General features: G+C 43.0%; 1 protein-coding gene across 6 annotated transcripts in view; it reads right to left on the reverse strand.

The window, feature by feature from the left end:
• Positions 1–251: 251 nt before the first annotated feature.
• BRD8 (bromodomain containing 8) overlaps positions 252–27,541 on the reverse strand; it is a 38,861-nt gene continuing 11,571 nt past the window's right edge. For 3 of the 6 annotated variants that reach the window (NM_001300962.3, NM_006696.5, NM_001300961.3), the window contains 12 exons: positions 27,000–27,209; positions 26,310–26,590; positions 25,196–25,648; positions 24,802–24,895; positions 24,569–24,615; positions 23,612–23,826; positions 22,536–22,628; positions 22,278–22,346; positions 21,373–21,550; positions 20,551–20,655; positions 20,037–20,081; positions 17,407–17,749 (listed from right to left, as the gene is read on the reverse strand). In NM_001300962.3, coding sequence (NP_001287891.1) covers positions 17,690–17,749; positions 20,037–20,081; positions 20,551–20,655; positions 21,373–21,550; positions 22,278–22,346; positions 22,536–22,628; positions 23,612–23,826; positions 24,569–24,615; positions 24,802–24,895; positions 25,196–25,648; positions 26,310–26,590; positions 27,000–27,209 — 1,850 coding nt within the window. In that variant the 3' untranslated portion in view covers positions 17,407–17,689. Of the gene's footprint in view, positions 649–1,186; positions 1,365–5,658; positions 5,728–6,270; positions 6,361–10,121; positions 10,280–11,226; positions 11,491–12,963; positions 13,243–17,406; positions 17,750–20,036; positions 20,082–20,550; positions 20,656–21,372; positions 21,551–22,277; positions 22,347–22,535; positions 22,629–23,611; positions 23,827–24,568; positions 24,616–24,801; positions 24,896–25,195; positions 25,649–26,309; positions 26,591–26,999; positions 27,210–27,541 lie in introns of those variants that run through there. The other 3 variants (NM_139199.2, NM_001300966.3, NM_001164326.2) reach the window with 3 other exon arrangements.

Raw genomic sequence — 27,541 nt, forward strand, 5'->3', positions numbered from 1 at the left:
TTTATTCTCCTTGTGAATCTTAGAGCACTAGATGTTTTCTGACATTTTACTCATAATTTATCTTATTTCATCCTTCTTCCCGTTTGAAGGATGCTTCAATTATCCCTACTCTATAAATGATAAGAACCCCTCCCCCAACCATTCCTTTCCAGGCGGTATATGTAAATGACCCGTGTCAGATACCTTCGTTTCACCAGATGATGCTGTGCCCTCTATGCCCAGCTTATCTAGTCATTAAAAAGCAATATTCCTATTGTGTAAATACATTTATTTATAGAGTAAAAGGCTTAGAAAAGATCTAATGGAATTGTCTTTAAATCAAGCCGATGGAACAAAGATGTGGGCAACATTTATGGCATAAATCCAAACCTCAGCTTCCCCTTTTTTTCTTTATATTATGTCCACATGCATCTTTGACTCGTTGGTTGTGAGTTAAGGTATTATTCTTGTTGGAAAAGAAAATGAGGACATGGCAAAGAAGTACCAGGATCCTCTCTAGGTCAGAGTTCCGGGAGAGATTCAAACTCTAGAAAAAGTCAGGATAGCAGCTCCAGGTTAGAAAACAGGTTTTCCATCATCCACTGGGTTAGCTGGTTCTCCTTCCAGACTACTTGAGCCTTTTCTTTTGTCTAACCAGATATTCAGTACCTAAAGGGTTAAGGAACACATAGCAAGCTATTATGAACCTTAAACACTAAAGTATTGCAAGTTTATTTTTTTGGCAAATAGACTCAACTATACTTTTTTCTTTAAAGTATGATGCTACCCAGAAAAGAAACCCACAAATGTCTTCTAGCTACTATATCTTATCCCCTAAAGATGGGAAAGTGTGAACGTACATTAATAACAACAGATGAAGCAACCAAAAAATACACAGTGACTCCAGCCTCTTTGGAGTTTAGCCCTTGACTTGAGGCTCTGGAAGCGGGAATTCCCATTACTTGTCTATCCTCAGCTCTCTTGAGAGCTCTTCACTGCTGCCTGCATTCCTAGACTACTTCACTATCAGAGCTGGACTTACTGAGGCTCAGGGTTTTCCAAACCAGCAGGCACATTATCAATCCTTCAGGGCCTTAATCACCTTTAAAAATAAACTCTGAGAACACAGTCACCTCGAAATCACCTTTATTCTCATAGGCGTTCTGAAATCAAGATTCCAGAGGCTACAGGTATCTGCATACAGTACCTGAATCTGCTCCAGGACTTCTTGCCGCATCTCCACAGCCATATGGTATACATGATGATCAGAGTCATTGTACATTACAGCATTTTGGAACATCAGCATCAGGTCTCGCAGGAATTGGGCCATGGTGCGAATCCGACCCTTAGAGAGATTTCTCTTCAGGCTAGTTAAGTCCATGGGTCTGCAGGTGGCCAAGAAAAAACAAAGAAAATCAAACCTTCATGTGGAACATATGATAACCTAACACGTTCTCTTGAAGAACTAACCAGTTCTTAATGAAAACAGTAGCAAAGATAACAACCCTCATCAGATAATAAAATAGCAACAGCAGTTAATATTTGCCTGTTTACAATGGGCCAAACACTGTATTTCTATACTAACTCACTTAATCCTCTCAATAAACCTGTAAGGTAGGTATCATTAATATCTCATTTTTTTTTTTTTTGAGTCGGAGTTTCACTCTTGTTGCCCAGGCCGGAGTGCAATGGAGCAATCTCAGCTCACTGCAACTTCCACCTTCCAGGTTCAAGCAATTCCCCTGTCTCAGCCTCCAGAATAGCTGGGATTACAGGCGTGCGCCATCATGCCCAGCTAATTTTTGTATTTTTAGTAGAGATAGGGTTTCACCATGTTGGTCAGGCTAGTCTCGAACTCCTAGCCTCAGGGGATCCACCTTCCTTGGCCTCCCAAAGTACTGGGATTACAAGTGTGAGCCACCGCCCCCGGCCTTATTATCTCCATTTCACAGATGAAGAAATTGAAATCTAAAGAGGTTAAGTACTCACTGAAAGGCACACAGCCTGAATTCCAATTCAGAGGCAGCCTGACTCCAGAGCCCACAGGTCAAGCCACTATATTCTACTATCAGAGGAGGAGTGCTGGCCCCAGGTATCAAAGTTGTAAAGAGCACCAATCATCAGTTTATCACACAGTAGTTATTTGCTGTTTACAATGTATAGTCATATATTATTTCATCTACTTCTCTTACTGCACAAATAAAAAGCTAAGAATAATTTTTTTCTCCTTTCATGGAGATGAAAAAAGGATCAAGTGAATATTAAGACAATATTAATGAGACACAGAAAGTAGATATATAAGAGAAGGCACAGCAGTGTAGAAAGAAGACTGAACTGCAGGTAAGAATCTGGGGCTTAGTTCTAGCTCTGCTATTAACTGTTGGTTGATCACGAGCAAGTCATGACCAAGCACCTCTGAGCTTTAGTTTCCTCATTCCTAAAGAAGTTTGTCTCTGCTGTTTGAATGATGGTATCATTGTCTCTGCTGTTTGAATGATGGTATCCCCTCCAAAATTCATGTTGAAACTTAATCCCAAGTGCAACAGTATTAAGAGGTGGAGCCTTTGGGAGGTAATTAATTCATGAGTGCTCTGCCTTCATGAATGGGATTAGCATCCTTATAAAAGGGCTCCATATCGAAGAGAGTGCCCTCTTATCCTTCTGTCCCTTCTGCCATGTGAGGATACAGCATTCGTCCCCTCTGCAGAATACAACAACAAGGCATCATCTTAGAAGCAGAAGCAGAGAGTAACCCACCTCACACACCAAAACTACCAATGCCTTGATCTTGCACTTCCCAGCCTCCAGAACCAAAACAAAGAAACATAGATTTCTATTATTTATAAATTATCCAGCCTGTGGTATTGTGCTATAGCAGCACAGACTAGTGACTCTCCAAAGGTCCTATCATGATCTTTTACATTCTATTACCATACAGGTTTATGACAGCATTTTAGATGACCTATGCTATAAAAACCCAAAATAGGCCGAGCACAGTGGTTCAAGCCTGTAATCCCAGCACTTTGGGAGGCCGAGGCAGGCGGATCACGAGGTCAAGAGATTGAGACCATCCTGGCCAACATAGTGAAACCCTGTCTCTACTAAAAATACAAAAATTAGCTGGGCGTGGTGACGTGTGCCTGTGGTTCCAGCTACTCAGGAGGCTGAGGCAGGAGAATCACTTGAACCCGGGAGGCGGAGGTTGCAGTGAGCCGAGATCTCATCACTGCACTCCAGCCTGGTGACAGAGCAAGACTGTCTCAAAAAAAAAAAAAAAAAAAAATCCAAAATAGGCTAGGATTACCTGCCTGTAATCCCAGCATTTTGGAAGGCTGAGGTGGGAGGATTGCTTGAGACTACGAGCTTAAGACCAACCTGGGCAATCTAGTGAGACCCCATATCTACAAAAAATTTAAAAATTCCTCCTCAGTGATATTCTGAAGAAAAATAAAGTTATTAATAACATTTCAAACAAAGAAAATATTTTATTATAATAAAAATATCAGGCCAGGCACAGTGGCTCACACCTGTAATCCCAGCACTTTGGGAGGCTGAGGTGGGTGAACTGCATGAGCCCAGGAGTCTGAGACAAGCCTGGGCACCATGGTGAAACTCTATCTCTATAAAAAATACAAAAATTAGCCGGGCATGGTGGCACACACCTCTAGACCCAGTTATTAGGGAGGCTGAGGTGGAAGGATTGCTTGAACCTGGGCAGTTGAGGCTCAGTTATCCAAGAAATGTGCCACTGCACTCCAGCCTGAGCAACAGAGTGAGACCTGTCTCAAAAAATAATAGTAAGTAAAAATTTAAAAAATAATAAATTTAAAAATTAGCTAAGTGCAGTGGCACATGCCTGTAGTCCCAGCTACTCCGGAGGCTGAAGTGGGAAGATTGCTTGAGCCCAGGAGGTCAAGGCTGCAGTGAACCATGATTGCACCACTGCACTCCAGCAACAGAGTGAGACCCTGTCTCAAAAAAATTTTTTTAAATAAAAAATAAAAATAAAATCCCAAAATACTGAGAGGTGAAGCTGGCTGGGCTTCTGGGTTGGGTGGGACTTGGAGAACTTTTCTGTCTAGCTAAAGGATTGTAAACACACCAATCAGTGCTCTGTATCTAGCTAAAGGTTTGTAAACACACCAATCAGCACTCTGTAAAAACGCACCAATCAGCGCTCTGTGTCTAGCTAAACATTTGTAAATGCACCAATCAGCGCTCTGTGTCTAGCTAAAGCTTTGTAAATGCACCAATCAGCACTCTGTAAAAACGCACCAAAAAAGGTTTGTAAACGCACCAATCAGCACTCTATAAAAATGGACCAATCAGCACTCTGTAAAATGGACCAATCAGTACTATGTAAAATGGACAAATCAGCAGGATGTGGAGGAGGCCAAATAAGGGAATAAAAGCTGGCCCCTCAAGGCAGCAGTGGCAACCCGCTGGAGTCCCCTTCCACACTGTGGAGGCTTTGTTCTTTCACTCCGCAATAAATCTTGCTGCTCCTCACTCTTTGGGTCCGCACTACCTTTATGAACTGTAACACTCACCGTGAAGGTCAGCCGCTTCGCTCCTGAAGCCAGCAAGACCACGAACCCAACAAGAGGAATAAACAACTCCGGATGTACCACCTTTAAGAGCTGTAACACTCACCGCCAAGGTCTGCAGCTTCACTCCTGAAGCCAGCGAGACCACCAACCCACTGGGAGGAACGAACAACTCCAGAGGCGCCACCTTTAAGAGCTGTAACACTCGCTGTGAAGGTCTGCAGCTTCACTCCTGAACTCAGCGAGACCACAAACCCACCGGGAGGAAGAAACTCCGGACACATCTGAACATCCGAAGGAACAAACTCTGGACACACCATCTTTAAGAACTGTAACACCACGAGAGTCTGCAGCTTCATTCCTGAAGTCAGCGAGACCAAGAACCCACCGGAAGGAACCAATTCCGGACACAATACTACAATCAACCAATGTTCATAACTTCCATTTGGATCGACATCTGTGCCTTACTATACCTATAACTAACTGAATAAATACAGGGTTCCTTTTAAAGTTTTGCTCCAAAAGAATAGTGTCAAAAACAACCAAAGGCTAATTTAAGATTATAATTAATGATCAGGCTGGACACCAAGGCTCACACCTATAATCCCAGCCTTTGGAAGGCCTAGGCAGGTGGATTGCTTGAGCTCAGGAGTTCAAGACCAGCCTGGGCAACATGGCAAAGCTCCGTTTCTACAAAAAATACAAATATTAGCCGGACGTGATGGCTCATGCTTGTAGTCTTAGCTACTTGGGAGGCTGAGGCTGGAGAATAGCTGAGCCTGGGAAGAGGATGTTGCAGTGAGCCAAGACTGTACCACTGCACTCCAGCCTGGGCAACAGAGTGAGACCCTGTCAAAAAAAAAAAAAAAAAAAAATATATATATATATAGAATGGATCATATTACTTAAAAGTCAATAGTACAAAATAAAAAGCCTATATCATCCTTTTGTTCCCTGCATTCCTTCTTAAATGAAGATATGATACTGAGCTCATCATAACTTTATAAACTTGTTTGGCTATGAAACATATCTTGAGTTTGTAAGTTATAAAAATAATCTAACAGATGGGAAATAAAAAATGAAAAGGCAGATATAAAAGCAACCAACCTTTCTTGACCCCTTTTTCACTGACCTTTTCACCACATCCTTGTACCCTGGGGCCTGCCTTTCTGACACAGGCTTCAGAAATGGACTGCTGAACCTGTTAAGGGACAAACCCAGAGAGGATAAAGAAACCCTGGCAAGGCACTCTGAAGGAGAAGAGTAGCTCAGTTCTTAGTAGACTTCCTTTAGGGGAATGCAGACTGTCAGCACCATTAGGAAAAAATCTATTTGTTCCCTCTTGCCAGAGAGTTAAAAAAAACACAAAACTATAAAATATTTCACTATTATTACAATATACTGATTTAGGGCTCAGAAATTTGTTCAAAGTTCCCAAGGCCCTGTCTCTGTGAAAAAAGAGAATCCACCAGATTGAAAAGAAGAATATACATTTTAAATATAAATTTTATCATGTAGTAGGAACCAATTTCTAGAGGCAACTCAAATGGCACAGCAACTATTTCTTGTACAGACTTGTGAAAGCAGCTGTGGGTACTTTGGGATAAATCGGGCTTAGATACAGAATCTACCTTTCAACTATGGCTCATTTGAGGGATGAACATATCTCCTTTTATGCTTAAACCCCAATATGTATTACTGCTTCAGCTCTGAACATAATCCTATTACCACTTTGGAGACCTACCTGTGACTGGCAATCATCTTCCAGACTGGCAGGAGAGTCTTCTTAAATAGCAAATGATCCTGAACAGGGTCATCCTGGCTTAGATCAGTCCTATGAGGATAAAACATGAAGAAAAGAGACAGTAACTTCACAAATAATATTCTATCTCCCCCAGGTGGGTAATGAGGTTTTCTTAAGACATGCTCCTAATTAATATCTGAAGCTTTTTATCTCCCCTTATCTGGCCAAGCAGACTTAGTTATTAATATCTATTGTTTTCTCTTTTAATTTTTTAATTTTATTTTTCTGAGACAGAGTCTTGCTCTGTTGCCCAGGCTGGAGTGCAGTGGCATGATCTCAGCTCACTGCAACCTCTGCCTCCCGGGTTCCAGCGATTCTCCTGCCTCAGCCTCCCAAGTAGCTGGGACTAAAGTTGCATACCACCACACCCAACTAATTTTTGTATTTTCCATAGAGACGGGGTTTTGCCATGTTGGCCAGGCTGGTCTCAAACTCCTGGCCTTAAGTGATCCACCCGCCTCAGCCTCCCAAAGTGCTGGGATTACAGGCATGAACCACCATGCCCAGCCAATTTTTTTTTTTTTTGAGACAGGGTCTTGCTCTGTTGCCCAGGCTGGAGTGCAGTAGTGTGATCGTGGCTTACTGCAGCCTCAACCTGCTGGGCTCAAGCGATCCTCCTGCCTCAGCCTCCCAAGTAGCTGGGACTCCAGGCACATGCCACCACGCCCTGCAGCTAATTTCTGTATTTGTTGTAGAGACAAGGTCCCACTACGTTGCCCAGGCTGGATATCTACTGCTTTCTAATAAAGATTTCATATTTAATCTAAATTGTAAGGTAAGAATGTGGAATTTACCATCCAAGACTATGAACTGTCATGAGATAAGATGTCTCAGATTGGGCCCGGTGTGGTGGCTCACGCCTGTAATCCCAGCACTTTGGGAGGCCGAGGCAGGCGGATCACAAGGTCAGGAGATTGAGACCATCCTGGCTAACACGGTGAAACCCCGTTTCTACTAAAAATACACAAAAAATTAGCTGGGCGTGGTGGCGGGTGCCTGTAGTCCCAGCTACTTGGGAGGCTGAGGCAGGAGAATGGTGTGAACCTAGGAGGCAGAGCTTGCAGTGAGCCGAGATCACGCCACTGCACTGCAGCCTGGGCGACCGAGCGAAACTCCGTCTCAAAAAAAAAAAAAAAAAAAAAAAGTCTCAGATTGCAGATTTCCTGCTGTTTGTACAGTCACAGTATGTCATCTCTGCACTCTATTGCTCATACTTAAGGAGTTAAAGAAAAGCAAATGAAGGCATTCCTCACCAATCTACATTTTAAACTGTATCCTATTTGTGTACCAAAAATTGAAATCTAGGCTGGGCACAGTGGCTCAGGCTTATAATCCCAGTACTTTGGGAGGCTGAGGTGGGATTGCTTGAAGCCAGGAGTTCAAGACCCAGCTTGGGCAACAAAGCAAGACCCTGTCTCTATGAGAAAAAAAAGAAATCTGCTCTTCAAAAAATATATATATATATATATTCATATATAAATATATGCATGGTTCAGCTGTATATCTTAAACAAAAAAACACTAGAATAATTATTAGTTTTACCTTTCCACAGACAACTGGGTGGATCTGGGATATACTGAAGAAAAAAAAAACAGTTCATACTATATTCTCTCAACAGATGGATCTGACACAGGCTGGAAAAAGAACAATTTATTTATTACCATAACAAAAATAACTTTGCTGGACGTAGTGGCTCATGCCTATAATCTCAGCACTTTGAAAGGCTGAGGCAGGAGAATCACTTGAGGCCAGGAGTCACAGATAAAAACAACTTTGTTTTTCTGCTTTAAAAAGTAATTCACTTCATGCCAGATGCAGTAGTTCATGCCTATAATCCCAGGACTTTGGGAGGCCAAGGCAGGGGATCGCTTGAGTCCAGGAGTTTGAGACCAGTCTGGTCAATGTGATGAAACCCTGTCTCTAACAAAAATACAAAAAAATCAGCTGGTTGTGGTGGTGCACATCTGTGTTCCCAGCTATTCATGAGGCTGAGGTGAGAGGATCACCTGAGCCCAGGAGGCGGAGGCTGAAGTGAGCCAAGATCATGCCATTGCACTCTAACTTGGGCAACAGAGTGAGATCCTATCTCAAAAAAAAAAATTAATATTTTTTTGGTTTCCTGTTAAAAAAAAACAGCCCCCATTAAGATTTGAAAATGTGTTATTTAGTCCTATAATTATCTATACAAAGATGAGACAATTGCATAAACCAGGGGTGTCCAATCTTTTGGCTTCCCTGGGCCACACTGGAGGAAGAAGAAGAATTGTCTTGGACCACACATAAAATACACTAACAATAGCTGATGAGCTGGAAAAAAAAAAAAAAAAAGAAAAAAAAAAGGGAAAAAAAAAGGGTCAGTGCATAAATCTCATAATGTTTTAAGAATTTGTGTTTGGCCACATTCAAAGCTGTCCTGGGCTGCAGGCTAGGGATTAGACAAGCTTGACATAAACAATCCCCTAAGAGATGTGAAAAAGAAACAAAGATCACAAACTTCAAAATAATTTTTTTCTTCTCTTTTATTTCTTGTTTTGTTTTCTGAGACAGGGTCTTGCTCTGTCACCCAGGCTGTGTAGTGACATGATCATAGCTCACTGTAACCTTCACCTCCCAAGTTCAAGCAGTCCTCCTGCCTTGGCCTCCTGTGTAGCTAGGACTACAGGTGCATGCCCCCACACCCAATAAATTTTGTTTATTTTTTGTAAAGATGAGGTTTCACTATATTGCCCAGGCTAGTCTCAAAATCCTGAGCTCAAGCAATCCTCCTGCCTCTGCCTCCCAAAGTGCTGAGATTACAGGTGTGAGCCACTGCGCCTGGCCTAATTTTTTCTTTAAAAAAAAATTTTTTTATCCTCTTCCTTGTCTCCATCAAAATAATTTTCCATTTCAAGTTCATAAAATCTATTTTAATATTTTTAAAAGAGGTATAGTTTGGGCCAGGCACAGTGGCTCAAGCCTGTAATCCCAACACTTTAGGAGGCTGAGGTAGGAGGATCACTTGAAACCAGGAGTTCAAGACAAGCCTGGGCAATATAGCAAGGCCAGCCCTGTCTACAAAAAATAAAAAATCAGCTGGGTGTGGTGGCCCATGGCTGTATTCCCAGCTACTTGGAAGCCTGAGGTGGGAGGATCCCTTGAGTTCAGGAAGTCAAGCTGCAGTGAGTCATGATCGTGCCCATTGCACTCCAGCCTGGGTGATGGAGCTAGACCCTGTCTCTATTAAAGAAAAAAAAAGCACCATAGTTTGTATATTAGGCATAGTTTGTATAATATTAGCTCCATCACCCAGGCTGGAGTGATACAGACTTGGCTAGAGTACAGTGGCACAATCATGGCTCACTGCAGCTTGACCTCCTGGGCTCAGGTGATCCTCCCACCTCAGCTTCCGGAGTACCTGAGACTATAGACAAGTGACACCATACCTGGCTAATTTTTTTTTAATTTTTATTTTGTAGAGGCATGGTCTCCCTATGTTGCCCAGGCTGGTCTCAAAGTCCTGGGATCAAGGGATCCTCCTGCCTTGGCCTCCCAAAGTGCTGGAATTACAGGTGTGAGCCACCACACCTAGCCTTGAAAGACAGTCCTAATATTGATTAAACATATTTGTTTTATAACAGGAGAGCATATAGACTTCTATTTATATGATGTTAAAATTATACTTAATTAATTATATTTTTTGTGTTTTCCAACTCTAATTTTCTTTAACTTATAAAAGTAATCCATTTCATGATTCAAATAGGCATAAACAGAAGTACGAATCTTAACAAACTTGGATGAAAGTCTACGCTTACAGCTTTGAGGAGGTAGCATGGCTGAAAAGTGTATCCACCAAGGGAGTCTCCTTAATGTTAAAGGCATCATCACACTCGCCTGAAGGGGGCTGGTCTTCCATCTCTGACACATATACTTCACCCTGGTCCTCCCCTTTGGATTCTTGCTGAGCCTCCCCCTAGGAATGCCAGGAAACAGGAAACTTTAGAAGGAGATTTACTTTCTGCATAGTAATTTTACTTGCATAGAGTAAATGAAGGCTGCCCTTAAGGTGAGAAGAGGTCAATTACATAAAGCTACAAAAGAAATTAAAGAAAGCTGACTTAACTAGATTTAAGTTAATGAGTTCTTGGTAACAATCTTGCTGGAGGACTTTGACTCTGTGCCACTCACCTCCAGCAAAATGGAAAAGCATTATTTGCCCAATTCTCATTGGATTCTTTAAAAACCATCATGATCACCTGTGGCCCTGGAGTTAACTACTCTAGCTGGCCAGATAATTTTTTTTTTTTTTTTGAGACAGGGTCTCACTCTGTTGCCCAGGCTGGAGTGCAGTAGCATCATCATGGCTCACTGCAGCCTTGCACTCCTGGGCTCCCCCGAGACCCCTAAGTAGCTGGAACTACAGGAACATGCCACCATACCTGGCTAATTTGTTTTTTGTTTTTTGTAGAGATGGTGTCTCCCTGTATTGCCCAGACTGGTCTTGAACTCCTGAGCTCAAGAGATCCTACTGCCTCTGCCTCCCAAAGCACTGGGATTACAGGCATGAGCCATTGCACCCCACCTGCCAGATAATATTAATAATGATGACGGTATTCTAAATTTTACTGATTGCTTACTATAAGCCAGGCACTGTGCTAAGTGCTTTACATGAATTATCTCATTTAAACCTCACAGCAATCCCACAAAATAGGGTGCTATTATTGCATTTCTGCAGAGAAAACTGAAGTTCTAAAATGTTCACTAACATGCTAAAGGTAACACAGCTAAAACTGGTGCTAAATCCAGGATTTGGATCCAGGTAGTTTAACTTTCTGGAGTTAGCCTATGTGCTCTAACTACTCTGTTCTGCTTCCCTAGGCAGAAGACCAACAAGACAGCTGATTTAAGTTACTTTCTTACCTCTTCACTCTCTGTGAGTAGTCCCTGAACTGTACAAATAACTGAGGGAGCTGAAGCCACCTCTGGCTTTCCATTTTCTCCCAGTGGCTTTTCAGCTACTAAGGGGTCTCCTTTAGCTGAAAGCTCTTCAGTCTCTCTGCAGAGCTCCCTTTCTCCTTCGCTAGCTTTAATTTCCCTTCCTTCTTGTCTGGTACCAGATGGAGGGCAGCAGCCTTCACTTGATTCGTTGCTGCTGATGCACAAGGGCTCCATTAAATAAGCTACCTGCAATCAAAGTTTATTATTAGATGCACAGGAACACCACTGAAAATCATCATCCACATATCAACAATGCCACATGCTAACACTGTCACAGTGACTAAGTCTGAGAGGACAAAATGGTTTAATTAATACAATCATCTAAAATCTGCCAAAATATCTTATATACACAGGCACTGGGCTGGTTGGTGGGGACACTACAGTGAACAAGAAAGATATGGTTCTTGCCTCTTCCAGGAGTTTATGTTCTACTTTTTCATCTCAGCTGTCAACTCTGATCAATTGGGAGTGGCTGTCTAGAATAAAGTGTTGAAAATTTTGTCTACCACAGACACTTGTAGAGAGAAGTGGCAACATTTGAAATGGATGCTTGCTGATCTTGATCTAGGGTCTTCTAAATGTGTTCAATAACAGCATACATATAACTCTCTGTCCAATTCTGTTTATTTCTGGTCCTCAGCCCTTAACCAAGGTAATGACACTTAAAAATACTACCTTAAAGTTACAGCATTTTAAGCTTCAAGGAAAATTTGGGCAAGTATAACTTCCCACAACTCCAAAAGCATGAATTACAAGGATACTCATAAAGCAGTCCTTATGACCCAGGCCCCTAATGACTGAAGTATTAGAAATTCAGTCAAAAAGCATGTATTTTTTTATTTTTAATTTTTTTACTTTTGAGACGGAGTCTCGCTCTGTTACCTAGGCTGGAGTCCAATGGCACGATCTCAGCTCACTGCAACTTCCGCCTCCCGGGTTCAAGCGATTCTCCTGCCTCAGCCTCCCAGGTAGCTGGGATTACAGGCACATGCCACCAAGCCCGGCTAATTTTTTAATTTTAATTTTAATTTTAATTAATTTATTTATTTAGAGACAGAGTTTCGCTCTGTCGCCCAGGCTGGAGTGCAATGGTGTGATCTCAGCTCACTGCAACCTCCGCCTCTCAGGTTCAAGTGATTCTCCTGCCTCAGCCTCCCGAGCAGCTGGGATTACAGGCGCCCGCCACCACGCCCGGCTAATTTTTTGTATTTTTAGTAGAGATGGGGTTTCACCATGTTGGCCAGGCTGGTCTTGAACTCCTGACCTCAAGTGATCCGCCCGCCTCGGCCTCCTAAAGTGCTGGGATTACAGGCATGAGCCACTGCGCCCGGCCATTTTTGTATTTTTAGTAGAGATGGGGTTTCACCATGTTGGCCAGGCTGGTCTCGAACTCCCAACCTCAAGTGATCCACTGGCCTCAGCCTCCCAAAGTGCTGGGATTACAGGCGTGAGCCACTGCACCCGGCCCAAAAAGCATGTATTTGGTGCATATTCTGTATCAGCACCAAGTGCTGAGGACATAGCAATGAACTTAATCCCTGCCACTGTGGAGCTTATATTTTAGTAAACAATATTAAGAGTGGTAGAAGCATGTAAGGATAAGCATTCTCTTAGAAAGTTGAGGCTTTTCCAGCTTTGGAAATAAGAGCTCACTGTTACCTCAGAGAGAAAGTGGAGGAGGTTCTGGTGGCTGGCTTTCCTTGCCGCTTCCTGAGATTCCTCACTGCCTCCATCCCCAACAAGCAGTTCACTAGGTTCTCTCTCCGGGCTGCTTTCCTCTAGTTCCTCAGCCTCTGGATCCTCAGTTTCCCTCCAGTTGCCCACATCAAGATCCAGACTGGAGTCCCATGAGCTGAAGAGGGACCTGCAGTCATTGCTCAACTCAGAGTCATTGGGATGATCTTGTTCAGAATCCAGCCAAACCCACTCGTGTCCCATCTGTAAATACACAGGAAAACATGCATTAAATTCATTCAAATAAATATTCCTGAGGCATCTCCATCTCCCGAGTTCAGTAGAAAAATAAGGGGCCAGAAATTTATTTGTATTCAAGTATTCATCATTAGGAAGAATTAAAATCTTGCTGAAGGGAGACATGAGATGAAATTATATTTGTCTTTGGGAATAAAGAAAGCCCCATGTCAGTATAACAGAGATATTGCACCATACAATACAGTATAATAGAGACATTAATATTACCTAATAATTATTTTTACTTGGAATTCCTCATATTCACACCAAAAGAAGGGAAAGAACTGGAGCATAGCTAGCTCAATTATTTTCCTCTAGCCCAAATCATCCATAACTAAACCGTAAGGCAAACAAATTGAGGGGGCAGGGGATATTTTCCTCAGTGTATAAACATTTTTAACCTATGAACCATTAAACCTTCAAAACACACTTTAGGATTGCCTTTGGCATCCTTCTGGTCATATCCAAATTGATGTTGAGAAACATTAAGCTTAAAATATATCTTCCCTTGCTCTCATTACACCACTATCTTGGTTTTTTTATATCTTTCTTTGTCCTCTCCCTTTTACAACTTTCAATAAATCCCTACCTTCTATGTTCATGCTTGGTCCTCTGCTTTCTTATTAATGTATTTTAAAAAAATGTATATATACTTTGAGGTTTCAACTTTGACCTCTATTCAGGTGGCTCCCAAATCTCTCTACCTTTACTTCTTATATGAATTCTGGTGTCATTTCTCCATGCATCCAAAAGTCAATTCCCTTTAGATGCTCTACCACCTGCTGTAACATTTCTAAAATAAAAATCACATTTCCTTTATCTCCAAAATCACTGCTTCTTCCCAATTTCCTTATCCCCATCACCATTTTCTTTTCTTTTCTTTTTTTTTTTTTTTTTTTTTGAACGAACTTTCACTCTTGTTGCCCAGGCTGGAGCACAATGGCCCAATCTCGGCTCACTGCAACCTCTGCTTCCTGGGTTCAAGCAATTCTCCTGCCTCAGCCTCCTGAGTAGCTGAGATTACAGGTGCCCACCACCATGCCCGGCTAATTTTTGTATATTTATAGAGACGGGGTTTCACCATGTTGACTAGGCTGGTCTTGAACTTCTGACCTCAGGGGATCCACCCACCTTTGCCTCCCAAAGTGCTGGGATTACAGGCGTGAGCCACCACACCCGACCCCATCACCATTTTCTTAGTCTACAGAACCCACAATTCTGTTTTGACCCTTCCTTCTCTTATATTCAGTAAGCAAGTCCTCTTCCCAGTTTTCTCCCACAATAAGTTTTCTCAGTGTCCATCCTTTCCTGAATAAATGCCATAGTCTCCTAGTCAGCTTTTCTATCTTTAATCCTATCTGCTCTCAACAAATATAGTTATTCTACTCAAGGCTTTATAACAGCTATCACCTCAAATATAAATTTCTCAATCTGCCAAAGTCCTCCACAAATTTAGCCTTATTTTGTTCCCTTCACTCACATGTACACCTCCTTATTCCTTAGTATAATCCCTGTTCTAATTACATTTTTCTCCGTATTGCCACCCACCACCCCCACCAGATGCCTACACCTTCCATTCGGTTTGCTAGTCTCATTTATCACCTTCTCTACCAACTCAAAACGTATGTCCTTTAATGGACCTTTTCCACACACTTCTCCCAGCTTTTAGAGCTTGTGTTTGTATCTCATGCCTGTTTGCAGACTGCTTTGGGACTACAATGTTATTTTTTATTTTCCTTTCTTGTTTGCAACATGTCCATGTAACAAGGAATTTCATGTTCTAACTCCTGGACTAATTGAATACCTTTCCATTGCCTCACAAAGACTGTATCTTCTCTTCCTTAGCATCCTAATATAGTTCTATTAAAGGCAAAAAGATCTGTGACTTCTAATCGTATCCTCTTAAACCCTTCTCAAGAAGACTTTGACTATTAGACCAGGCTCCAGTGTGACATATTGTCTAAATATTTAGTTATAAAGTGATATTCATCTAATATTTTTTCATCATAGCCATGTTTATAATAAAAAGTTCATAACTTTTTTTTTTTTTTTTTTGAGATGGAGTCTTGCTCTGTCGCCAGGTTGGAGTGCAGTGGCTTGATCTCGGATCACTGCAACCTCTGCCTCCCAGGCTCAAGCACTTCTCCTGCCTCAGCCTCCCGCGTAACTGGGATTACAGGCGCCCACCACCATGCCTGGCCAATTTTTTGTATTTTTAGTAGAGATGAGGTTTCACCATGTTGGCCAGGATGGTCTTGAACTACTGACCTCAAGTGATCCGCCCACCTTGGCCTCCCAAAGTGCTGGGATTACAGGTGTGAGCCACGGTGCCCGGCACTATTTCATTTCACTATTGAGTTTTAAAAATGTTGGCAGGGCGTGGTGGCTTATGTCTGTAATCCTAGCACTTTGGGAGGCCGAAGCGGGTGGATCACCTGAGGTCAGGAGTTTGAGACCAGCCTGACCAACATGGAGAAACCCCACCTCTACTAAAGAAACCACAAAATTAGCCGGGCTTGGTGGTGCATGCCTGTGATCCCAGCTACTCGGGAGGCTAAGGCAGGAGAATCGCTTGCACCTGGGAGGCGGAGGTTGCAGTGAGCCGAGATTGCGCCATTGCACTCCAGCCTGGGCAACGAGAGTGAAACTCCGAATTTAAAAAAAAAAAAAAAGTTTAGTTGGCCAGGAGCAGTCACTCATCACTTAAAAAAAAAAAAGTTATTAACAGAAGTTGGAATTGAACTGAGATTTTAAATTTAGGGGTGTTTTTTCTCTGTTGCCCAGGCTGGAGTGCAGTGGCATGATCTCAGCTCACTGCAGCCTCAACCGGCCAGGGTTGTGATCCTCCCACCTCAGCCTCCAATGTAGCTGGGACCACAGGTGCGTGCCACCACACCTGGCTAATTTATTATTTGTAGAGACAAGGTCTTGCTATGTTGCCTAGACTGGTCTTGATCTCCTGGGCTCAAGTGATCTTCCTGTCTTGGCCTCGCAAAGTGCTGGGATTACAAGTGTGAGCCACCGTGTCTGGCCAAATTCAGTAATTCTTAAAACTGGGCTTAGCCTTCAAACAGCAATGTTAAGAACTATATTTATTTGAGAAAGGGTCTTGCTCTTTCACCCAGGCTGGAGTGCAGTGATGCAATTATAGGTCATTGCCAACTTTGAATTCCGTGGCTCAAGAGATCCTCCAGCCACAGCTTCCCGAGTAGCTGGGACTACAGGTGCACACCACCATGCTGGGCTAATTTTTTTTTTTTTGAGAAAGGGTCTCACTTTGTTGTCCAGGCTGGTCTCAAACTCCTAGGCTCAAGCAACCCTCCCACCTCAGCCTCCCAAAGTGTTGGGCTATTTTTTTTTTTTTGAGATGGAATCTTGCTCTGTTGCCCAGGCTGGAGTGCAGTGACGCGATCTCAGCTCACTGCAACCTCCGCCTCCCGGGTTCAAGTGCTTCTTCTGCCTCAGCCTCTCAAATAGCTGGGACTACAGACATGCGCCACCACGCCCAGCTAATTTTTGTATTTTTTGTAGAGACAGAGTTTCACCATATTGGCCAGGCTGGTCTCGAACTCCTGACCTCGTGATCTGCCAGCCTTGGCTTCCCAAAGTGCTGGGATTACAGGCATGAGCCACCACGCCCGGCCGCCAAGAACTCTTTATACAGAGTCTTTAACCATAAAAACAGGAAAAAAATGGTAACACACTATCCTAGAAATACCATCTGCAAAGATAGCATTAAGTGAGACAAATGTTCCTGAGGTAAGGGTCAATGCTACCTATGTCCATGCTCTAATCTTCTTTAAGCAATGCCATGAACAGAATTCTAAAAACCTTACTTTTCCCAAACATTCAAGAAAATCTGAGTAAGGAAGTCTTTCCTGCGCAATGCAACACCTTAAGGTATATTAACTATAAACTCAATTCTGGTTGCTTACCTTCTCACACTACAGCAAGCAGTTCATAAGACTTTTCCCCTGTAACAATCTCATTCCTACAAATGAAATAGTTATGCAGAAGAAACAAGTTTCAAATACACACACACACACACACACACACACACACACACACACACACAGAACAAGCCAAAGGCTAGTTTTTTTTTTCAGTTTATTGTATACACACACATTTCACTGGTGGTTGTTTTTTTTAAAAAGTCTGTACAATTGACAAGACAATACAAACTAGCTACGATCTGCTAGCTACACATTAGGACATTAACATAGCCCATGGTTTCTGCCCTAAAACAGGCAATTGTGCTACTCCAACTCTCTAAGAGAGATTTTCCAGCTCATGTCGTGTGGCCCAGGTACCTCCTCTTCTGTAACTTCCACCTCTGGAACTGGGCCCGCAAGCCCAAGCTCTATCTTGTTTACTTTTATTTTAGGTTCGGCTCAAAGAGGGTAACTCTGAGGCTTCACTTTTTCATCTTCATATCTGCTTCAATGGCACAGCGGCGTCCCCTGGTTCCTCCATCCTAGATGACAGGCAGAGAAAGAAAGGGAGCATGAGTTGGTCAGGAGACAAGAGACGGTGCAACAGAAAAGTTGGGGATTTGGTTTCTTGGGGGAGAGGGAAGAGAATCAGCAGAAAAATCCAGAGGGATGAGGGGCATATTTCTGTCTTCCCACAGAGTGGCTAAAGAACACCTGGTAGTTTGTGAGAGGAAATGTAGGATGGAATATCTTGCTCATGCCCACTACAGAGGTCCTTGGAATTCACCTAGGGTCCCACAGAATAACTATTAGTCATCCCACCCAGGCCCAAATCATGTGCAAAGGAGCAGGAGAGTAAAAGAAAGGTAGGAGAGTCAGAATGGGCAATGGGTAGTGAGGTTCTTGACTAACATACCTGTCCAACTGTTGGTCCCTATAAGAAAGGCCTTTCCTGCAGACTGACCCTGGCACTAGTTCCCTAGCACCTCCTGACAGTGGTTTTCCATGAGATCAGGACAATTAGAAGGCTTCTTTCCATCTGCTGCTCTCTCCCTGCAGCCCAGCTCCTTCCTCTTGTGCAATATTTTGCTGTCTTCAATAGATAAAAGATCCTATTAACCAGCCTTGCAATAGCCAGCCAAATGCTTTGCTTGGGGGATCCAGAGTCACTGTTGTAGGCCAATAAGAAAGAACGGAGATTATAATGTTCTGTCTGTGGTACAGCCTGTAGGCAAGATGAATTACTGAAACCTTTGCTGGGCCAGGCCATTTTTACATTTCTAATATGCAAGGACTCTAAAATTTTTAGAGTCCATGAACATAAGTTGCCCATGAGGCAACAGTGAAAATAAAAAGGTGGTAACCTTGCATGTGTATAATGCTTTTCTTTTTTTTCCAAGCCAGTTTCATATCTATTATCTCATTTTATCCTCACAACATCCCTGTGAGGTAGGCTGGACAAGTACCTCATTATATTAGCTTTATCACACACCAAGGAAAACAATGCCCCAAGAGATTATCCAATGACCTTAAGACCATGTAGTTTTCTAGCCTGATGCCCTTCCATTACATCATACCTCACTGTCCCATAATGAACAACACAGAGTCAGAGCCAGTTAATTTATGGAGGAAAGTAATAAAAGTCTTTAGGCTAGCTCTCCTAAGCTTATCTGTAATTCCAGCAGCCACTATTGATGCAGTGGTCACTTTTTTTTTTCTTTTTTTTGTTTGAGACAGAGTTTCACTCTTGTTGCCCAGGCTGGAGTGCAATGGTGCAATCTCAGCTCACGGCAACCTCCGCCTCCTGGGTTCAAGCGATTCTCCTGCCTTAGCCTCCCGAGTAGCTGGGATTACAGGCGTATGCCACCACACCCGGCTAATTTTTTTTTTTTTTTTTAGTAGAGACGGGGTTTTTACATGTTGGTCAGGCTGGTCTCGAACTCCCGACCTCAGGTGATCTGCCCACCTCAGCCTCCCAAAGTGCTGGGACTACAGGTGTGAGCCACCACACCCAGCCACAGTGGTCATTATTACTGAGATTGTTTTTTTTTTTCTTTTGAGACAAGGTCTCGCTCTGTCACCCAGGCTGGAGTGCAATGGTATGAACAGTGCAGCCTTGACCTCCTGGGCCCCAGTGATGCTCCTACCTTGCCTTCTGAGTAGCTTGTAGTTAGGGACCACAGGTGCGCACCACTCCGCTGCACAGCTAGTAGGGTTTTTTGTTGTTGTTGCCGTTTTTAAATTTTGTAGAGACAGGGTCTCCCTACGTTGCCCAGGCTGGTCTCAAACTCCTGGGCTCAAGCAATCCTTCCACCTCAGCCTCCCAAAGTGTTGGAATTATAGACGTAAACCACCACACCCAGCCTATACTGAGTTCTTTAGCTTAAATTTTACTGTTTGTTACATTAGTCTTGCAACTTAATTTTAGGAGACAAGAGAAAAACTATTTGCTGAGTACTGCCATTATGAGAAACACTGTTAAAAAGCCAGCTAGCAGCTCCTGCTCTGACCAATTTTAAATTTGTTAAGAAAAGAATTGGTAAAAGGTGAAGTCAGGAAATGACGAGCAGGTACATCCTAGATCCTTCACCCCTAGAATACATTTCAGCCCAGTGATCTCAAAAACAGTCCCTACCCAGCCCACACACACACACACATGCAGAAAGACAGGAATGCAGAAGAAAAGAGTTTCTTATTCAATGACCTGAATAAACAGAAGTTCAAGACACTGCCACAGTCTGCATGTTGGATTTCCCTCTGCCACCCACCCCCATTAAGAGCTGAGAATCTTTGTGGCAACACCACCCCTTGCAGCCATTCAATACTTACAAAGAGAGAGAGAAGGAAGGCAGGAGAGCCCATTGGGACACTGTCCTGTTAGAGGACAAACAAACACTGATCAGGTTCCACAGAAACTCTCAGCCACAAGCACCCCAAACCTCAGGACAGAGACACAAGCACCACACACACAAGGACAAAATTTTAAAACTCAAGAACAAGAGGAAAGAGATCCAAAAGCAATCTGTCCATTACGCCTCTAGCACAGAAACTGATGGTCCCCAACTGCTGCAGGCTAAGCCATTTCCCCCGCCTTGAGAGCACTCTCCCAGAGGAATTAATAATTCCCCTACTCATGATTTCTCCCATGTGACTGGGCCTTTCGGTTACAATAGGCTTATTCAACGTTTAGATGGGTGCAAACCACCATCATTCTAAGATCTATGTGTCTGTATATCATTGGAATCTAGAAGCCCAATACCAAGTAGTAACATAAGGGTCCTTGGATGCTTCAGACTTCTACTACTGGAACACTGGCACACAGGTTCCTTCCTGATCGCCTCACCTTCTCTGAAGCATCCTGTTTGCGGGTAGAATCTCTCCCTCGAAGACTTTTAGCACTGATCCCAGACTCGGATGTTTGCATAATCAACTGCGTGGCCAAGAATTGCTGTAGGGAGAAGAAACAGGGTAGGCCATGGAGACCTGATTTAGTAGGGACAAATTAAGTACACTTTAAGCACTGTAAATAGAACTTTGTATAGTACTCTTCTGGCTCAAATATATTTTGACTGATTGGAAGTTTAGCATATTAAGTTTTAATTCTAGTTGCAATAGGGATGCTAAAGAATCAAGCAGCCCTAACTTTTTTTTGCTATAACATAGGATCAAAATCTCTATCCTCCAGGAATGAGAAAAATAATAAAACTAGAATGAACCAAAGATCATTCAGCAATTTAAGTAATTTGACAAATCGTGCAAAGATTTGCAATATTCTTCCAAGTTCAACACCCCAAAAAGTACCTGGTAACACAATCATAGGATAAAAGCAGGGAAAAGGAAAGGAGAAACTCTTATTTGCTGATCACCTACTATGTACCAGGTACTTAATGTAATTAAAAAATATACATTCACCATTTTTAAAAAATTTTATTTAAAAACTTTATGAAACTGCAAATAATTGCCCAAGAAAGGTAGAATATTGTATCACAACTCTTTCACCACACCAAAGAAAATAAAAGTAAGAACAAAATATTATGTTTTCAATTGTGTCCCTGACAGCTATCCACGTAAAAGCCACAGCAACCCTTCTTGGCATCAATATGAATCCTCCCCTTGAAGTATTTTAATTTCATCCTTGCTGAAACACAAAGGATCCTCAAAGTACCTGGATCTGTTCCAAGACATCTCGCTGCATCTCCACTGCCATGTGATAGACATCATGGTCTGAGCTATTGTACATTACAGCATTCTGAAACATCAGCATAATGTCACGCTGAAATTCAGCTGTGCTTCGGATCAGTCCATTTTCTATGTTTTTCTTAATAGTTGACAAATCCATAGGCCTAAAAAAAAAGAACAGGGGTAAGTAGCAGTGGGGATGGAAAGAGGACGCACCTAGATCTATGAATACATTATCATATAGACTTTCTCATATATACCTTAACTCCCAGCTGCCAGGACTTAAATGCTAACCCCTTATCCCAAAACATGCACTTAACCCAAGAAACAATCTATATAATAAGCATTGAGAAAGGTAATAAAGGGAGTTTATTTAGGTTTTTTTTGGAGACAGGGCCTGGATCTGTCACTCAGGCTGTAGTGCAGTGGCACAATCATGGTTCACTGCAGCCTCGAACTTCCAGGCTCAAGCAATCCTTGGTTCACTGCAGCCTCGAACTTCCAGGCTCAAGCAATCCTTCCCACCTCAGCCTCCCAGGTAGTTGGGACTACAAATGCGCGACACCACACCTGGCTAAGTCTTGTATTTTCTGTAGAGAGGGGGTTTCGCCATGTTGCCCAGGCTAGTCTTGAATTCCTGGGCTCAAGTGATTCACCCACCTCAGCACCCCCAAAGATTACAGGCGTGAGCCACCGCTCCTGGTGGAGATTTATTCTTTTAGACTATCAGTGGTGATCTAGCCACTGGAATTATCAGTTTAGCACTCAGTGCCCCTTATAGCAAAACCATAAACTTACTTGCTTTAAACTTTCTATCGAAAGCAAAACTTCACTAAGACTGGACAATTTATAATTCAGGCAAGTTACCATGCTGGGTGGACCATGGCTCACCTCTGCACAATGCTGTGGTAGCCAGGTGCTATGTCATCTGTAACAGGCTGCAGGAAGACATTGGCATACCTGTCCAAAAGGAATAAGGTGCAATTACTGACATTCTCCAGAAGTGCAGGGAGGGAACTTACTCTAAGTAACTAAAGGTAGTAAGAACTAATACCAGCAGTTCCACAGAAGCCTACTCAGACTTTTTTCCAGTCACCAACAATGAAGAGTAGGAGAAAATGAACCTACTGACTGGTAAAGCCCACTCACCTATGATTAGCTGCAGCTCTCCATACAAGCATGATGGCTTTCTTCCAAATTTTCTGTGCCTGAATAGCTTCCTGATCCTCACTACAGACAGAGCTGAAACAGAGATACAGCAATTCCACTAGGCACAAGTTAAAAAATAAAAATTATAATTCTCTTTTCTTTTTGAGACAGGGTCTCACTCTGTCCCCCAGGCTGGAGTGCAGTGGCATGATCATGTTCATTGCACCCTCAACCTCCCAGACTCAATCCTCTCACCTCAGCCTCCCAAGTAGCTGGGACTATAGGTGCATACCACCATGCCCAGCTAATTTTTTAATTTTTTTGTAGAGATAGGGTCTCACTGTGTTGCCCAGGCTGGTCTCGAACTCCTGGGTTCCAGCGATCCTCCTGCCTTAGCCTCCCAAAGTGCTGGGATTACAGGTGTGAGCCACTATGCCCAGCCCTAATTATTTCTTGTCAGCTGTTTATTCCAGGTCAAAAAAGGGAAACACTAAAGAAAAGATCAGGCCAGGCATGGTGGCTCATGCCTCTAATTCTACTGCTTTGGGAGGTCAAGGCAAGAAGACTGCTTGAGGTCAGGAGTTCAAGACCAGACTGGACCACATAGATCCTGTCCCTTAAAAAAATTTTTTTAAAATAAAAATTTAAAAATAAAGAAAAAGGCCAGGCATGGTGTCTCACGCCTGTAATCTCAGCACTTTGGGAGGCCGAGGCAGGTGGAACGCTTGAGCTCAGGAGTTTGAGACCAGCCTGGGCAATGTAGCAAAACTTGGTTTCTACTAAAAAAATTTTTTTTAATTAGCAGGGTGTGGTGGCACAGGCTGGTAGTCCCAGCTACTAAGGAGGCTGAGGTGGAAGGATTGCTTGGGCCTGAGAAGTGGAGGTTGCAGTGAGCTGAGATCGCACCACTGCCCTCCAGCATGGGTGAGTGAGAACAAGAAAAAAGAGAAGGAAAGGAAAGGAAAGGAAAGGGAAAAGAAAAGAAAAGAGAAAAGACAGGAAGGAAGGAAGGAAGGAAAAGATCCTCTCCTCACCTTCACTGCCTTGGCCTCAAAGAAAGAATCTCAGATACTCACAACTGTGAAGAAGCAGGGCTGCTGGGGATGGAGTCTGCCAGTGTGTGTGACTGCAGTGTAGCATTGTGTATGCTGAAGCCATCATCACTCTCGCTCACAGGAGGTTCATTATCCATTTCTGACAAGTAGCCTTCTCCTTGATCCTCTTCCTTAGGCTCCTCTAGGCTGGCCGCTTCACTGACACCATCTTCCTCCTCATCCTCACCTGGGGCATCCTTAGATACAGTATGCTCCAGTTAACAAATGCAAGCAAAGCTATCCAGCAAAGCATCATTAAACATGATCTGTCTTTTGGGTTAGAATTAGTTCTAGAAATGACCTCACGCTGTTTCCTGACTCAGCTGTCTATCACTTATACTACCATCTACTTACAGACACTGCGTTAAGTAATTTAGAACCTGGACAAAGAATAATACCCAGGATCTTTTAAAAAGAAAGAAAAAAAAAAGCTACTTACTTAAGACTAAGCTAAGAGGCGTTCCTTCTTTCCCCTTGCTCGAGAGTAACTCTGACCCTGGGTACAAAGTTATCAAAAATAATTTTTATTTTGTGTCTCATTTGATGGAGCAAGCTCACATCACATTCTTTAAGCCTCTGTTACTGCTGCTTTAATAATTCTAAAAAGAAAACTCTGGATGATTCTCTTTGGATAGTCTAATTAATAAACTTGATTCCTGTATGTTCTCCTTGGCTCAGGTATCCTTATTCACTACAAATCACTCTAAGTGTATCAAGCCTTCTTAAGGACTGTGTGATATTCACATGCTGTTTCATATGGGAGGCACCTGTTGCTATAGTACTCCCATTATGCCTGTCTACTGCAGCTTTTCCCCATGCAACTCCATACCAGTCTCTTATCAGAGAATAAAGATGTGACTTTACTGAAATTCATTAAAAAGTAGTGCTATAGGGAAATCTAATCACATGGCAAGAGGAATAAAGAAAAGTCTGAAATACCTTTATCTGGCTTCCAAAAATAGTCCCTGATTCTTCTTTCAATGAGTCTGCAGAGGAGAGAAAGACTACCTGAAGATTTTTCCACCTTAGCCTTCCCCTTCCTATGGACCATAATCCCCTGCAGCTCTCCTTTACATGCTGACCTGTTCTACCTCCTCTACTTGCCCACAACCCACAACCCCTCAGAAGCCAAAGCAAATGATTTCAAGTCAGTGAAAGAGGACTTTATTTACCTGACATTTCAAACTTGTGCTGAGTCTCTGCCTCTAAAGGATCTTCAATGGGATTTGAGCCATGTGATGGAGACAACATGCTTTCAGGGGATGCCTGAAAACCAGAAAAGAAAAAACACCCTAAGTACTGATAAATCGCTATAGCTCACACAACTTTATTCTTCAGTGATAATGAGACCATAGAAGAAATTCTAAGTCCTACTCATGTAATGTGACTCCAATGGTCACCTTAACAGGAATAAGTATATATAACACTAATCACAGCCTATGGGCTTTGGACACATCAAACATGTCAGAACTCAGGAATGCAACTGGAAAACCAAAAAGCCTAAGCTGTCACTTCTTATCTAAGGTATAAACCTCCATCTCCCCAGCCCCGATCTTTCTTAAGTACCTCTGTCTTCACATTTGTAAGTGGAGTCTCATCGCCTTTCCCAATGGCAACATCTGCTTCAACAATCTCTCCAGCTGCAGTACTTCCCAGTTCCTCATCTAAGTCCTGACTCCTGAGTTCTGGTGGCTCCATACTTGTGGCTGGAACAACTCCAGCTACTATTTCGGCTCCTGAAATGACTGGCTCTGGTTCTGCAGGTTCCACCTTGATCTCTGCACTGGGCTCCCTGATGTCCACCAGTTCATGTATTCCCTTGTTTTCCGTTTCCTCAAAGTCCAGTCTCTCTTGCTTGACCGTCATTTCTGGTGCAGGGAGAGGTACTGGCTTGTCCCGCTCCTGCTGGATAGGATGCTCCCAGGGGCCAGGCAGGGACTGAGGATCATCATTTTCTTCACAAAATGACAGTGCTGCTTCCACTGCTGCCACATCCAGCACTTCAGGATGATCATCTACCTGTCCCACAAAACACAAGACTATTGAGGTCACAGAAAGAAGCCCAAGTCCTTCAATTTTTGTTAGCACCAAATGTGATGGCTTGAATCTGCAGCTTTTCGCTCCATTTTTTCCATGTAGTGGAGGCAAACAATGAAGAGGCACCTGTCCTGTGCAAACCAGTAACATGGGTAGACCTGAGGAGATGACTAGTATGTTAGCACCAAAGGGCTACAAAGATGGAGATGGGCAGAAGTAGGAGAGTTGTTTAAGTAATTCTTACTGTAAGAAGCAAAGCAGCCGAGTATGGTGGCTCATGCCTGTAATCTCAGCACTTTGGGAGGCCGAGGTGGGTGGATCACTTGAGGCCAGGAGTTTGAGACCAGCCTGGCCAACATGGTAAAACTCATCTCTACTAAAAATACAAAAAATTAGTGAGGCGTGGTGGCATGTGCCTGTAGTCCCAGCTACTCAGGAGGCTGAGGCACAAGAATTACTTGAGGCTGGGAGGCAGAGGTAACAGTAAGCCAAGATCGTGCCACTGCACTTCAGCCTGGATGAAAGAGCAAGACTCTGTCTCCAAAAAAAAAAAAAAAAAAGCAGCAGCAGCACCAAAGTGAGGCTGAAAAGAGAAGCCTATGTAGGACCCATGAGATTCTCTGGGGCTTCGCTGAATAGTTACCTTGTCCTCAATGATGGCAATGATGTCTCCAACAGTCTCAAAATCCAGCTCTTCACCTGTGTAAGACACAGCAATATCCATCTTCTCAGCCAGATCTAATTCTTCCTTCCCATCTATGCTGGGAGCCTTTGATCCAACAGGAGCCTCTGCTACCCCTGATCGAAAACACTCTTCTTTGATAGAATTGATGATCATGGATATTTCACTGCTGTCCATGGAAACAGTCACAGTATGTGGATCCCCCACAGCCTCCATGGGAACACAGTTGTCGGGTTGACTCACTGAGTAACAGAAAGAGAAAAGCATCTCAGAAGCTTATTGGGTACAAAGCGACCACCTTGAGATCACATAAGCGCTACAGACAGATGTCAAATATCCAAACACTTAAGGTCAGAAAGAGTCATCAACATGTGCCTATGTTTTCTTCTCCCCAGTTTTATCTAGAAAGGTGAGAACATATTTTCAAGCCTGCTCATATCTGTATACTTAGCCTCTTCCTGCAATACATAAATGCCCACCCACCTCTTCTCACATCTATTTCTAAGGATATTTATTTCTAAGGATAAAGATGGCACATGTCTATGTAGAACAGAGAAGAAGCATCTGAATCGGAGCTGATGCTCTTGGTCATTTTTCTCTAACTAAAGCTCAAAATGAAATTTTAGATCTAGTGGCTGCTCAGGGACGCACCTGGAGCTACACTTTCAGTAGTGGAGACAGCCGGAGCAGAGGATGGTGCTGGCAGCGCAGGCATCATGACAATGGTAGCTTGGGACACAGACTCTACAGGGGGTGGCACAAGTTTAACTGGAGGCTCACTGGCAACAGTAGTGAAGGAAGCAAGAGGTGTGGTGAACTGTGTAGGACCAGCTTCTAAAAGCCGGGAAAGAGTGGGAGCACCTAACATATAAAGAGGTACACAAAATGAAGTAAGAAGAAAGCACATAAATAAGAAGCAATAGCTACTTGAAGACTCAACTAAGAAAATTCTTATGGTCTCAAAGGATGAGAGCAACTCCTGCATTGAATAAGTTCATCATCTATATCCTTACTCTAACCTTACTTAAGATCTTCCTCCAAGTTAGGAATGAACCAAAGCACTAGAACACACAACATATATAAAAAATGGGTGGTAAGGCTAGGTGCAGTGGCTCACGCCTGTAATGCTAGCACTTTGGGAGGCCGAGGCAGGTGGGTCACTTGAGGTCAAGAGTTTGAGACCAGCCTGGGCA

The sequence above is a fragment of the Homo sapiens genome, chromosome 5 (assembly GCF_000001405.40).
Source record: "Homo sapiens chromosome 5, GRCh38.p14 Primary Assembly".
In the NCBI taxonomy this organism is placed as follows: domain Eukaryota; kingdom Metazoa; phylum Chordata; class Mammalia; order Primates; family Hominidae; genus Homo; species Homo sapiens.